Here is a 17,398-nt window from a genome sequence, read left to right as displayed (position 1 = left end):
TTGACTACACCTCCGTGTCCTCATTAACATATTAGTGGTTATGGAGTGCCTATCACATACTGTGTTTAAGGCATTGTTGTATTCATTCTAGCTTTATCAGGGTGAATTGAACATGACTTTTGCCTTCAAAGAATGTACAATCTAATAATAGGAGAGAAGATATAACCACAAAAAGTACTACTCCAAGAAAAAGTTCTTATTGCCATAAAATGGAATTCAGGGGTAATAACAGAAGGCTTTATAAAAGAAGGAGGTAACACTTGAGATGAGATTTGAAATCCAAGTAGAATTTGAATATATAGAGATTTACAGTTAAAAAGAAAGGCATCTCAGATGGAAGGAGGAATATTAGCAAAAGCAGACCCAAGAGATTTGGGGATGAAAAAGGAAAGGCAGAAGGGGGAAGAAGAAGAGGAAGTAGGAGGAGGAGAAAGAAGGAGGAATAATAAGTTATTTGATGTGAATGGAGCATAGAATGGTTGAAGAGCAGGAGAATAGTAAGATACCAAATCAGCAAGGTAAGTTGAGCCAGGATTATGGAAGGCTTTCTTGTTTGTCTTTTATCTGTATTAGTCCCCCACCATCTTGGCTCGTGAAGTCTGCGCAATAATCAGTCTCGCCCCACACTTTCATTGGAAAGACACATGCATTTACTCTGGGCATCACCCATCACGATGCTTGGCTATGGTGCTTCTCTTCTGAGTTGGTGGCCACGGCCCCAATGCCAAGGATGAGAGACCTGCTCCGTGCAGCAGTGTTTCCTTCTACTTTGCTACAGAAATAATCTGTAGACTCTATGATTCATGCCAGTGCCCTCAGCCACTGACAAGCATGTTCACTTGGCCATTTTGCTATTTGCCCCTGGTAAGTATCTACTTGCACATCAATTTCCAGGGACAGAGCAGACTACTAAAAATCAACAGGCTGGTATCTTGTAGGACTTACTTGCATAGCTGCTCCAAAAAAGTGATCAGGGTGAAAAAAAAAAAAGTAACTGGTGCTACTGTGTTGACTTATAACCTGTATGAGCATCTGACATGTGCAGAGCCCTCCTTTCTGGTAGCTGACTCTATCTCCCCTTTCAGAGTTCCTCCTGTCTCCACGGCTTCTGAGAGATTCTAGCTCTGAGAGTCAAGGAACCTTTCTAAGCTTTCGTTAATGTAAAGGGGTTTGGACATGAACTTGAATGGCTATTGAACTGATTTTCCAGCTGACAGGAGATGGTTAATTGTATGCTGTCTATAGGAGTCTTACAAATCTGTCTGGCCATGTTAAAAGCAGTTTGAAATTTATGGCTTGAGACCACTGGGGGTGAAAATGAACTCAGGGCCCAGCAAGGGTAATAATCCCTTAGGTGGAAAATAAAGTCCAGTGGGCAGATCCCAGAGCCCTATAAAGAGAGATGATCAAAAGTAAACATGGTGCAAGTTCAGCAGCTCTGGTGGTATTATGTTCTCTCTTTCTGGGATATCATCTGTCTTTTCAGAAGCATATACTGTCAGTTGAGAGTGTGACTAAGAATTGGGGGTTATAAAATAGTCTGCTTACATGCTATAGGGATGGGAACTCTGCATCCTTTCCAGGAATCACCTCCTCCCTGATATAGTTTTTGATTCGAATAATCAAAAGGCAAGAGAGGCAATTATTATGACAAATAAGTGGATAGATTTCTTTTTCTCCCTTGAATCCTGAGTCAAAATGCAATAGTGACACTCATAGAAGGAAGAGACCCGATCTCTCTCTCAGGGAGAATACGGGGAACTTTTCCAGAGTTCTTCTGTTGAGGGATACATTCTAGTGTCATTTTTGGGAGGAGGCAGTATCTGCCGTGGTATGAGCTGCAGCCCCGCTGCCCGGAAGCTTAGGGTCATAGGTGAGGATCTGATCTGTGTCGTTTGCTGCCAGCTCCTTGCTTTCTGGTCCTAGTTTGGTTTTCAGGCCTACTCTGACTCTCAGTGTCTCATTAGTTCCTCTGACTGCTGCTTCCTCTTCTGTATACCTAGAAAGTAGAGCTAAAGGGCCCTATCTCACAAGGTCATAGTGCGGATCAAAGGAGACAGGTGCACAGCACAAGGAGCTAAACAAATAGAAGTCCAATAAATGGTGTTGCCTTACTTCTCGTTTGCATTTGCAGGGCACACAAGCAATGGAAGGGACACATATGCAGTGGTTAGTGGAGGTTTCCACTGGGAGCTGGACAGCAGGGGTTCTTCCAGTTATTTCTGTGTATCTGTAATAAGGTGTTCACAGCATGCCTGATATCTTTATAGTTAAAAAGGAAAGCCTAACTGCATTCATAATAAAGAAAACTGAGGGTCTTTTATCATGCTCTCCACACAGTGTGGTAGCTAAGGGGAAATATGAATAGTAGTTACTTGGACTCACAGAGTGTATGAGAAAAGGCAACAGCTGTGACCGTAGTTTTCAAGGGTTCTCTAGCTCATGGGCTGAGCCAGTCCCATCCCTTCCTTCAGCATCCATGCAGCCACCTCAACACAGATGCACACAATATATTTTAATCCATTTGAGTGATTCCCCCTCTCCCGCTCCATGAGATTGCACCTTCAACTACAAGGAGTGTATTTGACCAAAGGCCTGAGCATCTGCTCTCTGAAACTCAATGCCAAGCTTGCTCCAAAGCCACGCCTCCCATAGGCTGCTCCTGACCAATGGTTGAGTGCAGCAAGGATGCTGTGCTAAGGAAGACCTGTTCTTGGGAGATTCAGCTTTGGCTTGACAGTTCCCCTGTGGCCTTGGCCAGTGGTCTAGGAGGCTTTTACCCAACCTTCTCTCCTTAACTCAGGGTCAGATTTGCATTGAGGTCTGATGTCCTTCCCAACTTTTCCAGCTCTCTCTACCCCCTGCCCCATCCCCCTGCCCTCACAAGCATTTCCTTTAATAAAATTTTCACTTGCCGGGCGCTGTGGCTCATGCCTGTAATCCCAGCACTTTGGGAGGCCGAGGTGGGCGGATCACCTGAGGTCAGGAGTTCAAGACCAGCCTGGCCAACATGGAGAAACCCCATCTCTACTAAAAATAAAAAATTAGCCGGGTATGGTGTCGCATGCCTGTAATCCCAGCTACTTGGGAGGGTGAGGTAGGGGAATTGCTTGAACCCGGGAGGCGGAGGTTGCGGTGAGCCGAGGTGGCGCCACTGCACTCCAGCCTGGGCAACAAGGGCGAAACTCTGTCTCAAAAAATAAATAAATAAATAAATAAATAAATAATAAATAAATAAAATAAAATAAAATAAAATCTTCACGTATGAGACTGGGCACGGTGGCTTATACCTGTAATCCCAGCACTTTGGAAGGCCAAGGCTGGAGGATCACTTGAGGCCAGGAATTTGAGACCAGCCTGGGCGACATAGCAAGATTCTGCTACTACAAAACCACTGAAAAAAGAAATTAGCCAGGCGTGGTGGTGTGCACCTGTAGTCCTAGCTACCTGGGGGACTGAGGCAGGAGGGTCACTTAGGCCCAGGAGTTCTAGACTGCAGTGAGCTATGGTTGCGCCACCACACTCCAGCCAGGGGGACAGAGTGAGACCCTTCACAAATAAAATGATAAAAAAATAAAATCCTTGCTCATTTAATCTTATCTCAGCATCTGCTTCTTAGCAGGCCAGGCTAACACACTTTGGTTTGTTGTTTGCTTTTTATTTATTTGCTTTTGTTTTCCTATCTGCAATCTCTAGGAAGCCAAGTGGGAAGATCCTTGCTGGTTTCTCCCTCTGAGGAAGAAGGAAAATGCCATGACTCCCACTATGGCCTCTCTTGGAACCATATTTTGAGGTACCCTACTTCCTTCTTGAGTGTCAGCAGAGCAACTGTGGGACTGGCATGAGATTTGGTCATTTCTAGGAGAGCGAATGCCTTTTGCCTCTTTGATGAGAAAACTAGACGAGACATTGTTTAGAAATTCTTGAGCTCAGACTTTGGCATTATGACAACGTGCATTCAAATCTGCCCCAGCCACTTGCGAGCTGGGACCTAAAGCCGTGAGCTTCTGGTTGTTTATCTATAACAAGCGGATCCCAGTACCTACCTCATAGGGCTGCTGCGAGGATTAAAATAAAATGCATCTATCAGCCAGCTTGCAGTGTCTGCACTTAGCAGGTGCTCAGGTGCAATACCTTGATAGTTTTGATAGTTTGTGATGTTTATTCTGTTCCTCATTAGCATGCATATGTGTCTGTATCTTGTCAATATAAGTCAATATTTTAAAATGTGTGAGTCAGGGTTTTAAAAATATTTAAGTACACATTTTAAACTATAAAACCTAATGAATTTAATATATAAGGATTCTTTAGGGCAGAAATGCTTTTCACTCTTACTGTCATTTTTCCATATTCATATGAATGTATACTGATGTGTGTTTGTGAATATAGCACCAGCACTATGCTAGGATTGATAAGAAACACAAAAATTGATCTGTTAGAGATCATGCCTCTAAGAAGATGTCAGTTCCGAAAGGGAATGCACAGTAACTACGATCCGGGATAGATGTATAGGAAAGATCAGGTGTCAGAATATATATTTATCTCATTGATTTTAAAAAGCACATTTTGTCTTTCAGCCAATGGCATCTTAGATTTGACCAAATACAAGTTCGTGCAATATGTTTTGGTAGTTTAGAGGAAAGAAAGATTCTTTTAGCTTAGGACAAGCGTGGAGAGGACAAGGCTCAGGAAAGCCTTGAACTTTTGGGATGGACAGAATTTGGGTAGAAGGCAATGGGGACAAGCACTTTAAGGGAAAGAATAGAATAAACAAAACATACAGGCCGTGAATGGGAGTAGAGGGGAGAGAGGTGGGAAAGGCAAGGTGGGATAAGGAAGCTCAGGGGTTTGTGGATTTTATTATGCAAATCAGAGAAGGTCAACAAAACTCTTGCATGGGAGGGTGGGGAAGCTGCAGTGAATAATTAGGGCTGTGTTTCAGGATTTGATTTGACAGGGGCACAGAAGGTCAATGGGAGGTAGAGCGTGAGGTGACTTGGAAGGCTATTATGACAGCCTGGTGGAGAAGTAATGGAGAGAAAGGGAAGCCCAATTCTTGGCCCCATACAATGCAGCAGTCATTATCTCATGTGCCCTTTGAAATGACCTTGGAAATTGTTGGGAAAATTAAATGAATTGACTCTGTCTTCCTTCTCCAGCTTCAGTTATCCGCTTCAGTCCCACTGCAATCTTGAACAGACCTTGCCTCAACTCTAATCCCTGTGGCTATGCCTTATGGGAGGGGTGGTGAGAGGCTGCCCATTTTGGTTGCTTTGTTTTCATGCCCTCCACATGTTTGGCAATGGTGTGCCTTCACTTGCATCCTGGAGGTGGCCTTAGTTCTTCAGTGTTTGGATGGAGGAGACATAAGGCCCTGGCTTTACTTGTAGCAGCTCCTAAGTGTGTTCTACAGTGTGGGGGAAGAACTGGAAACACAGAAGCCATAGCTTTTGGTGCGTGACTGTTGCATTTAGGGAAGTTTTCAAACTGAGGTCATCAGAAAGAAATCTTTACGTCCAGGCCCAAAGCCAAGGCCACCTGGACTTAGGCTTTCTGATGATTCTAGTAATTTGGGAAGCAGGTGCCAGTAAGGGCACAAAGGAGTACTTGGATCAGGACAGAAACAATTTAGGAGAACTGCTCATTTTCTAGTTCTACAAGAAGTCATTTGATATCTTTCTTCCCTCTCCCCTTCCCTCCATTGCTCCCCTCCTTCCTTCCTCTTTTCATTTCTTCCTTCTATTCTTCCCTCCTGCCACTGATGTTTATTGAGGGCTTACTACGTGCCAGGTACTCTGAGATGAGTGCAATGTTGCACAGGTTGCTAAGTGCTACAGGTGGTACCTAAGAGGGAGGAAAGCACAACTCCTGTGGTCCAGATGCTTGAGAAGTGTTGCTGTCAAGGAGACAAAGCCGTATAAAACAGTTGGGAAGCAATGACAACACAAAATACAAGAAATAGCTATATAACACAGGAACAAGACATAGGAACATAGAACACACAGCTTAATGGTGACTAACTCCAGTTCTTTGGAGGAGATGACTCAAGTCTTCAAAGTTCTAAACAAGGAGAGGTAATAGGAGGGAGTATATCCCAGACTGAGGATCTTGTGAAATGCAGCCATAATTATTCACCACTACTTCCCCACCCTCTCATGCAGGGGTTCTCTTGACCCTCTCTGATTTGCATAATAAAATCCAGAAATGCCTGAGCTTCCCTATGCAACCTTGCCTTTCTCACTCTCTCCCCACCACTCCCATTCACTACCTGTATGTTTTGTTTATTCTATTCTTTCCCTTAAAGTGTTTGTCCCCATTGTCTTCTGCTCAAATTCTGTCCATCCCACAACTTCGAGCCTTTCCTGAGCCTTGTCCTCTCCACTCTTGTGCCCAAGCTAAAAGAATCATTCATTCCTCTAAACTACCAAAGCATATTGAACGAACTTGCATTTGGTCAAATCTAAGATACAATTGGCTGAAAGACAAAATGTGCTTTTAAAAATCAATGCAATAAATATGTATTCTGACACCTGATCTTTCCTATACACCTATCCCAGATCGTAATTACTGTTCATGGGTTGTTCTCCCTTTCTGAAATGCCGTCTTCTTTTTGTTTGTTTATTTTTGTTTTTTTTTGGAGACCAAGTTTCGCTCTTGTTGCCAAGGCTGGAGTGCAGTGGTGGGATCTCAGCTCAGTGAAACATCCTCTTCCCAGGTTCAAGTGATTCTCCTGCCTCAGCCTCCCGAGTAGCTGGGATTACAGGTGCCTGCCACCACGTCCATCCCGAGTAGCGGGGATTGCAGGCACCCACCACCACATCCAGCTAAGTTTTGTATTTTCAGTAGAGATGGGGTTTTGCCACGTTGGCCAGGCTGGTCTTGAACTCCTGACCGCAGGTGACCCGCCCACCTTGGCTTCCCATGAATGCCACCTTCTTAAAGGCATGATCTCTAACAGATCAACTCAACTGGGGCAGTTTTCCTTCTCCCCCCAACCCAACCCTCCTCAATCCAAGGACATCTGGAAATATCTGGAGACAATATTGGGTTGTTGAAACTAGAGAGGGGTGTTATTAGCATTTAGTGGGTACAGGCCAAGGTGCTGCTAAACACTTATAATATACAGAACAGTCCCCCTAAAACACCTATAATATACAGAACAGTCCCCCTGCAACAAAATGCCACAAAATGCAGTTGTGCCCAGGCTATGAAACCCACGTGAATCATCCCACAGTGCAATGGGGCGTGGGACAGATTATCCAGAGAGGTGGCTGGAGATGGATCCATTGAGGAGAGGTGTGCTTGAAAAAAATTAGAAAGTTTCACTTGACTCAGAGTGGTCCTTAGGATCCCATGCTGTTGGTTCCCAAACAATCCAGAAACAAGACAACTGGTGTTTCCAAATGCTTGGATGACAGTATAAGTGAGGAGACAATGGCACCAACTGTAGCCTGAGCTGCAATAGCTTTTTCTGGGTGGGTGGCTCTGGAGAGACGCACTGGGAAGGAAAAATGAACAGGACATGCAGACTTACTCCTGCTCCATAATGAAGGAAGAACAGTCTTCAAAAGTTCAATTTTGGTACTTTCATGTGACCATGTCTTCAGAGACCTAGCTTTGAACTTGGGGCCATACGGACTTTGCCTTTTGTTTTAAAAGTGACACTGTTTCACTCCATCTTGAGGGGTAAGTTGCTCTATCAATTAGTTTCTAATGTTTTTCTTCAGCCCAAGATCATTTGTCTTAGGTTTTCTGGACTTGAGATAATTTGCACTGCGAGCCCTGTTTTGTGTGTTTGTTTTAATAAGTTGAAGTAAAAACAGAAACAAAACAAAAAGTCCTCCTCGGAAGAAAACCTGTTGTTTTCGTGAGAAGCTTTTGCTCCTGTATCCGATGCTCCTTCCACAGAATGCTCTTCCATCAGGGCTTTCTGAGGACACCGCCTCCTCCCCCAAAAGGCCGCCTTTCCTTTCAGGTCCCTGGAGTGTTGCTGGGTGGGTGATGTTCACTTCTGGTTCCCATTCATTGTCCTAAAAGGAGCTTGTGGGGTCTGGTGTGGAGTGTGTGTGCACGCGTGCATGTGTGAGCTTTGCTTCTGGGAACAGGCAAAAGAGCAAGAGAGGAACAGATGGGCCCCCCGAGCTTCTCTTTGGCCTGAAAAATGAAAGGCGGAGAAAATTGTAATAAAAAACGGAAACAGCTGTGGCAGGACAACAGCAGCTTGTGGGGTGGGCCCAAGCCTGAGGGGGGGTTGCAGTCTGTCAAGATTCTGCTCCTCAGCTCGTTGGGTATCACCAAAAAGAGTATCCGGAGGTCATCAGATGTGCCCTGTGGCCTTCCTCCCTCTTCACTCTCCAAGCCAGACTGTAAAAACAGATATTGAATGATTTTTTAAATATATCAGAGAACATGGACAAATAGGCCCCATAACTGCCATTGAACCTATTCGTGCAGCATGACTGTTCTTTCTTCGATCTCATGTAAGTTCCCCCAACTTTGTTGAAACCTGTTTTTTGTTGGGTTCTTGGCACATAAAGTCAGCAGCAGGTTAAGATGGCATTTTCCAATGACCGATCGACCAGGATGATTCACTGAATAAGCAGAAAAGACATTTAGTCATAATCATTGGCTCTCATTCAAGAACAACTGGACTCTTTCTCCAGAGAGACTTTTAGGTCGGGTAGCTCTCAGAAATGAAGACTGAAAATGTGACAACTTGAAGGAAGAGTGCAGATATCATATCAGAAGAGACAAAGAGTTTCTGAGAAAGTGAAGAATTTGCTACTCCTTCTCTACTTCCCACCATCAATAATGAATAGTAATGATCATTTCAGTTGAATCACTAATGCAGTAATAAAGTATAATCTTGCTATGTAGAGTAATCCAATTGGTGATCAAATGACAAGTGGCTGTACAAATCAGGATATTACTTTTTTTCAGGTAACCTATTTATTTATTCAGGAATCTTTTATTTTTTGTTTGGTATTTAAAAGCAACACACGTTTAGATGATGAATTTTAGAAGTTAGGGAACTCCTGACCATAAGCTCTTTATTTGCTTAACTCCCTTGACTATGTTTAATGAAGAAACATAGATATCCATAATTTATTAACATCATTTGTTTAACGTTGGTCTCTTCTTACTAGGTGTGGGGTCCCTCTGTCCTGTTCACCTCTGTACCACTAGCTTCTAGCATGAGCCTGTCAGGTAGTAGATGAGCAAGAAACATTGGTCGTCTTGACGATTATGACTTCCTGGGCAATGCGGCTGGATAGACCTGAGCATGTCAGTTCTTTCCACACTGTATGCCCATGAGGACGGTTTTGATGAACAGCTGTGGGCTCTGGTCTCTAGCCAGAAGCTGGATTTTATTTGGTCTCATGTCTATTGATTGACTACTATGCATGGCTGATGTCTGTTATGCTGTTGGCTCAGGTTGTGTTCCTGCCGTCTTAATTTTGTTGTCTAGCATGAGGTGCAAGCTTGGTTCTCATAGTTGCCTACTTGCACTATGGTAGAATCAAAATGATCAGATAACACAGGTGAACATTGGAGGGAAAGGAGTCTTGGTGGGAATAGGGGCTCAAGGGGCAGGGGCATTGGGGAGAATTAAATATGCCATGTCATTTTTTTTCCCCCTTAAATCCCAGAAAACAGCTGTAGGTGGAGAATGGGATAGATTTCAAGAATTCTCCATGGAGGCAGGGGTTCACATAGGGGCCAGCTGGGTGATGAAATCCACTGAGAGGTCAGATGTGTGCTCATGTTCAGTGAGGACTTCAGAAATTTCAGGGACTTTCAAAATTGGCTCTGGAGGGAGGCAGATCTGTTGACTGGGAAGGACACACACATGATGATTCTGAGACCCAGGGGCTTCAACCAAGAGGGAAAATGAGGACCCAGACTCCTTCTAGTTCTGCTTTGGGAAACCCTTGAAGAGAAGTGTCTCTTTTCTAAATTTACAGAGATGTAGGACATTCAGAATAGGAGCAAATCTTACCCTTTCCAGGGGCTTTAAGCTATAAAGTGCAGAAGTCCCACAAACATTGTCTTTCTAAAGGTCCTTTATTTGCATAGAGGTGGGTCAGCTCCTCACAGTTCCAGGAATTAGACCAATTTGCATAAGTGCCACCTAGAAGGCCAGATGTTTATTTGGGCTTTGACTTTCCCCCCTTATCCCTTGATTTCTTCCACCTCCCAAGCTGCCTGTAAGTGAGCCTGAAAGTCTCACATTAGACACTCCTGAATTCCCAGCCTTATTTGTCACCAGCTGGACCTAGAGGACCAGCATAATCAGCTTCTTCACAGAGCTTGGCACGTCCCCACATGGGTCTAGCTAGATTCATACAGTGCTGAGGCAGGTGCAAAAATGAAAAGTCAAAAGAAAAACGGATATCTGAACTCCTCCTATCTAAAGAAAGGAAATAAACATCTGGGTTCCAAAAGAGTATCAGGGTCATCAGATCTGATGTCTCTCGAATTCTGTAAGGCCAAACAGTGTGCAAGGGAACTGGATAGGGCAATGAGGAAGAAGAGTGTTGGAAATGTAAAGTGAAAGCACGAGATACCATTTTACACCCACAAAAGTGGGTGTCGCAAATACGAAAACTGACAACAGATGGGAGTGTTGATGTAGAGGAACTGTAACTCTCATTCCCTGCTTGTGGGAGTGTAAAATGATTTAAGCACTTTGGAAAATGCTTTGGCAATTTTTCGTAAGGTTGAATGTTTATCTATTCTATGACTCAGCAATCACATTTCTAGGTCCAGGAGAGATTTATATCAGCTTTATTCACAATAGCCCCAAACTAGAAAGAGTGCAAATGTCTGCCAGCAGGAAAATGGATAAACACATTCTTGTAAGTTCATGCAATGGAGTACTAGTTAGGAAGAGAAAAGAATAAACTACTGATACATGCAATGACATTGAGAAATCTCAAAAATTATTTTAAGCAAAACACGCCAGATACAAATGGGTACCTATTGTATAGTTTCTTTCATATCAAGTTCAAGAACAGGTTCTAATCTAGGGTGATAGAGATCAGACCAGTGGTTGTCTATGGAAATGAAGATGGACTGAAAGAGGGAATGAGCAAACGTTCTTGGGTGATTAGTTTGTTCTCTAATTTGACTGGTGTGGTAGTTGCTCAAATGTACGCATATATCAAAAATCATCAAGTTGCACAATTAAGACCTATGCATTTCACTGCATGTAAAGTTTTTTAAAAAAACAAAAAACAAACAAAAAACAACCCACAATAAAGCAGGACAGGAGTCCAAGAGGGGAAAGGAAATCTGTAAAGATGCTTTTTGAAGAGTTTTTTCATCAATGGATACTCATCCTCCCTTCACTGGGGAGGTATGGTGTATTATCTATTATCCCAGGTTGAGTAAATGGGGCTTTAAAATAGGTCACTTGCAAAGCTTTGAAAAGAGTTCTTGCAGTTCAGAAGCATGGAGAACTCATGCTTGCCTTGAGAATCTAGTTATCTACGGTAAGCTGTGAGAAGTGTTGACTTTTCTTGGGTGAGGGAGGGATATGTTTCCATTGACCAAATGTGGGTCCCTATCAAAAAGAGAGAGCAAACGTGGCATCATCGTGGGTCTTTTTTAGCAGAGTGGCCTGCAAAGGTGAGGAGACCTCCACAGAAAGAGGCTGGAGGTGTTCTGAGCATGCTCTGTGGTGGGAAAGGCAGTGAAACTACCTGTCTAATAGTGATGTATCTGCCTGGGTCAAGACAGCCGCATGAATGAGCAGTTCGTGAAAGTGCCCAAGGGGAAATAGTGCAGCGCTGCTCAGGTGCCTGGCCCACCAGGAATACCAGCCTTAACCATCTACTAGGACTGGAGAATTTGGCACCATCCATATAAATACCCCTTTCTCTTTCTTCTCCTCCCCGGTTAGCCTCATCCTCTTTGACTCTGTTGGGCAGACAGGAAAAAGCAGCCAACTAGTGGGAGAGAGGAAAACAGGGAACATACAGAGAGGTGTACAATCACCCTCTTCCCCAGAGTGGGTTTTCATCCTGGAGCATTTGTGAGTTGAGGAGGAGGGAAGATTTGCTATTAAGCCAATTTAGACATTTCCTGGAGGGACATTTCAGTTTACTAAAATGAGACTTAAACAAAACATAAGCGGCCAGGTGTGGTGGCTCACATCTGTAATCCCAACACTTTGGGAGGCCAAGGTGGGCAGATCACCTGAGGTCAGGAGTTTGAGACCAGCCTGACTAACATGGTGAAACCCCGTCTCTATTAAAAATACAAAAATTAGCCGGGCGTGGTGGTGGGCACCTATAATCCCAGCTACTCAGGAGGCTGAGGCAGGAGAATCGCTTGAACCCAGGAGGCAGAGGTTGCAGTGAGCCGAGATCACGCCATTGCACTTCAGCCTGGGTGACAGAGCAAGACTCCATCTCAATAATAATAATAATAATAATAATAATAATAATAATAGAAAAAAAGTAAGCATAGAAGTTTTTTTTTTCCCTATCATTCTGAGAATGATAGGAAAATTCATGCCTCCCTCCTGTCCCACCCCCTCTCCTACTTCCAGTGAACACTCAGGGCCAAGGGAAGATCCAGCTTCTCAATAAAATCCAAAGAGTCAATGAAGGCAAGTAGAAAGTTGCATTTTGATCACAATCCACATAGGTTACATGTATTTCCAACTGACTACTAAGCATGTCCAACTACATTCCTATATTCCACGATTTGTTCAAATGACACCATCTCTTCCTCTGCCACTGAAGGTAGGGCATAGAAATTAGCCTTGATGTCACCTTCTGAGTAGTCTACATATCACCAGTTCTCAACCCCCATCACTTCTAGCCATTGAGTCCTCTCTTAGCCATCCCATCCTCTCCATTCTTATTCCCACTGCCTTGGCCTTGGCTCAGGCTTTATCTCTTCTGTGATGGACTAAACTAGAGACTCCTAAGTGGTCTCCTTAATGACCTGGTTTCCTAGATTTTGACAGCAAAGTCAAAAGTCTGGGTTGGAGCAGGGGGAACAATGTCCACTTTTAAATTTGTATATATATTTTTTGAAATAGGGTCTTGCTATGTTGCCCAGGCTGGCCTCGAACTCCTGGGCTCAAGGGATCGTCCCGCCTCAGCCTCCTGAGTAGCTGGGATTACAAGCGCAAGCCACCGCACCCAGCTAATGTCCTCTTTTTTGAAACACACAACAACTCCTGCCATTTCCTGGTTCAAATCCTTCTAAAGTTCACTATGATTCTGCTTATCTCTTAACTAATTTTCTGCTATTTATCTACCCATATCGAATACTAGTCACAGTGAACCAACTTACAATTGCCCCAAAGCACCAGCCTGTTGAATATTTCCATGTTCTTGCACAGTCCCTCCTCTGTGCCTTAGTGTCTTTCCTTAGCTGGACAATTTCCCCCTCCTCCCTCTCCTCTGCATTCTTTATATACATCTCTAACTCAACGCTCAACAATCTTGTCTGTTTAATGTCTTTATCTTCACCCTTCTTTTTGTGAGCTCCTTATCTTATTAGTTTTGAAGCCCAACTGCTACCTGGCGTATAGTGAACATTAATCAAATGTTCATTTAATTGATAATTTAATTAAGGAGTAATTGATTTTTTTTTTTTTTTTTTTTTGCCTTCTAACCCCTAATACTTGATTCCCATCTCAGGATCTGGGAGAATACAGCAACTTAATACACCAATGAATTCATCAATAAGTGCTTACCGAGCTCCTGTTATGTGTCAAACACTTTCCCAGGTAATGGAGATAAATTGAGAACAAGACGACGTTCAAAGCCTTAGCTGGAGGAGACAAACACGTAAATGACAAAGATTATTTCAGGAAGTGATGGTGTTACAAAAATGGAATAATGGGTTAGTGAGGATTGAGGTGACGGCAGTGTGGACTACTGTATCCAGGATGGGCAGGGAAGGTCCCTTGGACCAAATGGCCCTTTGGCCCATTTCAGCTGATATCTGAAAGATGAAAAAGAAATAACAGGGAAACTCTGATGAAAGGTTGTTTAAGTCACGAAAGTAGGAAGTGCAAAGGCCCTGAAATAGCAAAGAGTTTGAGAGATTGAGAATGAGAAAGAAGGCTGAGGGGTGGGGCATTGGGAATAAGGAGAGTAGTGGCAACAGATGAAGTCATAGAATTAGGCAAGGGCTACCTTGTGTGGGGCAGCAGTCAGCAAATCTTTCTGTAATGGGGCCAGCTAGTAAATATTTTGGGCTTTGTTGGCTCCTGTCTCTGTTTCAACTACTCAAGTCTGCCATGGAACAGAAAAGCACATAGACAATCTGTACTAATGAGCATGACTTTGTTCCAATAAAACTTTATCTGCAACAATAGGAGGTGGGCCAGATTTGGTACGTGGGCTGCGGTTTACCAACTCCTGGAGTAAGGCAGTTGAATCCTATGGTAAGGAATTTGGATTTTATTCCAAGGATAGGTAGCCATTGAGAGGTTTTGAACAGGGGGTCATATGGTCAGATTTTGCTTTGAAGAGGTTCCTGTAGCATAATTTACCACATAAGAATTGTCTTTCTCCATTTATTATTTCTTTCCCGTTATGAACTCTATTTCTAATTTTCTTTTGAAAACTGAGAGGATGGGGGGAGCCTCTGGTAGTTGCCTATGCCATTTACCAGTCACATAACCTTAGGTCAATTGCTTAATCTCTCAGCCTCAGTTTCCTTCTTCATAAAGCTGTAATAAGAATACCTGTCTCAAAGGGTTGTTAAATAGATTACGTGAGATCATGTATATAAAACATCTGTCACAGTGACTGCGAAAGTAAGGGCTCAATAATGCAAATCCCTTTGCCATTTTTTTTTCTTCCGTTGGGCCTGTATAAGTCATACGCCAGTCAAAACAGGAGGATATGTAAAACTTGGGTTGAAAAATCAATTGCACAATTACAGGATAGGTAAGAAATTACTTAACGTAACATAACTGGGTGACTTGGCTGCTACAAGAGCTAATATGATTTTAATGTAAATTAATAGAAATATGATTTCTGATGACAAGAATGATGAGTCTATTTGTCTTCCGTGTTAGCCAAGTATTTGGAGTCCTGGAAAAAAATCTGAGTGCACTCATTTGAGAATACTAGTAAGTGAAGTACATTCAAAGAAGACTGTCAAATATAAAAGGGTTTTGGAACCCTATCACATGTAAAATGTATTGGAAGTGTTTAGATTGGGAAGAGTAAAAGAAAACTTTAAAACTGCACACATAGTTGAAAGGCTGTCACTTGGAAGAAAGATAAGACACACTGTTCTGCTGTGGAGGTGGGCCACCTTGGACCATCGCGTGGAAACTGCAGAGGTAAGATTTTTCCACAATTAAAGATCTCCATGGTGGATGTGAGCTCTCAATCCATGCAGGTATTCTGGAGGCAATGGAGGAGTATTCAATAGCTGAGATAATGTATAAGAGATTTTTGCAATGCAAACACAAATAAATTAAAAGACCTTTCTTTATACCTTCCTCATTTCTGATTCCTTCCTCATATCTGCAGGGTACATTAACCAAATCTGTAGAGATCAAAAGGCCCTTTGGATACTAGGGACTGGATTTTTCTCTTGGGATCTCTGCTATAAAGAGGATTGTGAGATCCATGAATCCATGGTTCATTAAGAGGTAGAGAGACTAATAGAGGGTTACTGGGGGGTGGGGCAGAGGGGCAGGAGGGAGTGGCTAAGGTAAAAATAGAGTGGGTTCCCTTTATGTAAATGGAGTCAATTTTATATCACTGAAAAAGAGATGAAGATCAGGAGAGGAAAAATGAACTCAGCATGTTCTCACCAAAACCATTTCCAAATCCATCAACTCCTCCTTCCCTGTGCCTGTTCTCCCAGTTGGCTCTAATGAGTTGCATTTTTTCCCCTATGGCATGCAAACAAGGAAAGACCAGGAAGTACTATTTATTTGCGCCCGCCTCCTCTTCATGAAAATGTAAGCTCCATGAGGCAGTCTTTCTTGTTCATGGTTGCGTCCTAATCAAATATTTATGGCAAGAATGAGGAGTGGGAATAATTCTAGAGTGGAATATGACAGTGGGAAATAATGGTGATCAGATGAACCTCCATATAAAATCCTGAATGCTCAAGGGACATGTCTAACAATAGCTTCAAGGAACTATTGCCCCAAATTTAGCCTGGTTGTTTTCTGAGATTACCTGGCCCATGTTGTATCTGGTCAAAAAAGAACGATTCTCCAGAAATTCGGAGTAAAATAGTTCTAGTCTGTGCTTGATAAAAGAGGAAAAGCTCAATCAGGGCCCAGCAAAGTTTTCAGCTGTCAGAGTCAAGGGGAGACTGAGAAAATGCAGAGGAGAGATGGCAAAGAAAAGAAAAAAAGGAATGAGCAGGAAGAGGAAAGGGAAAGAATAGGAGGGCAGGTCATTGCATTTCTTGTGTGCAAGAAACCTGTCTTATGCCCGTAAGTGAATGTCATTTGAGAAGCAAAAATTCATTTGACTCTCAGAGGGATGAGAAACTGTGTAAGGACAAGTGGTAGAGTGTTATTGCAGAGATTCCAGTGTGTTCTTTGGCAATACCGTCACGTTCATGGATACGATGGAAGGTAGATATTTGTTTAGCACCTACTATGTTTCAGGCACTGTTGAGAACAGAAAGAAATGTATTCTGCTATCTTCTATGGCAGCCTCTAATGCTTCAGTTTACTGGCCAATAGGTGTGATCAGGGGCAGATCCAGCTTTTGTGTGGCATGAAGTTTATGGTTTTTTTTTTTTTTTTTTTGAGGCGAAGTTCTTTAAGAAAAAGAATTTAAATTTTAAAAATTCAAGAATAAGTCCAGAGCCTTAAAAGGAGCCTGTGCTTTTGAGAGGTGCTGAAGCTTGAGCTTTGTTTGCTTCATAGTAAATCCATCTCTGGCTGTAGTGATAGTTCATCGATTACTTTAATATAAACGTGCCACCATGCTGCCTCACAAACGTTCATTTTGGAAATCAGGGAAGGAAAGGGATGGGATGGAGCTGAAGTGGGAAAGTCAAACAGCTCCAGTGAATCCCCATGGCTCTAATTTAATAATAGAGCAAAAGACCGATTCTTAAATGAGTTTATTTTTATTCCCTTTTGCTAAAAATTTCAGTTTTGTTAAAATGGTTAGAAAAGAAAAGGTTTTATTTTAAGTGCAAACAAACAAATAACCCTGGATCTACATACAAACTCTTTCCGGTGTGGAGGACTCTCCTAGGTTTCCAGTCAATGTGTTGCTGTTGCCAGGGTGATAAGCTCTGTGCTTCTGGTGTTAGACTAAAAATTCCTCCAAAATATTTTATAATCTGGTGATATTGGGCTTTGACTAGATCTGATAGATATGGGGGTGAGCGGGATTCTGAGGAATTCTCTCCCAGCACTCCTGTGTCTCTTGCATTT

The sequence above is a fragment of the Homo sapiens genome, chromosome 17, assembly GCF_000001405.40.
Source record: "Homo sapiens chromosome 17, GRCh38.p14 Primary Assembly".
Lineage (NCBI taxonomy): Eukaryota > Metazoa > Chordata > Mammalia > Primates > Hominidae > Homo > Homo sapiens.
Note: the sequence above shows the minus strand (reverse complement) of the source record.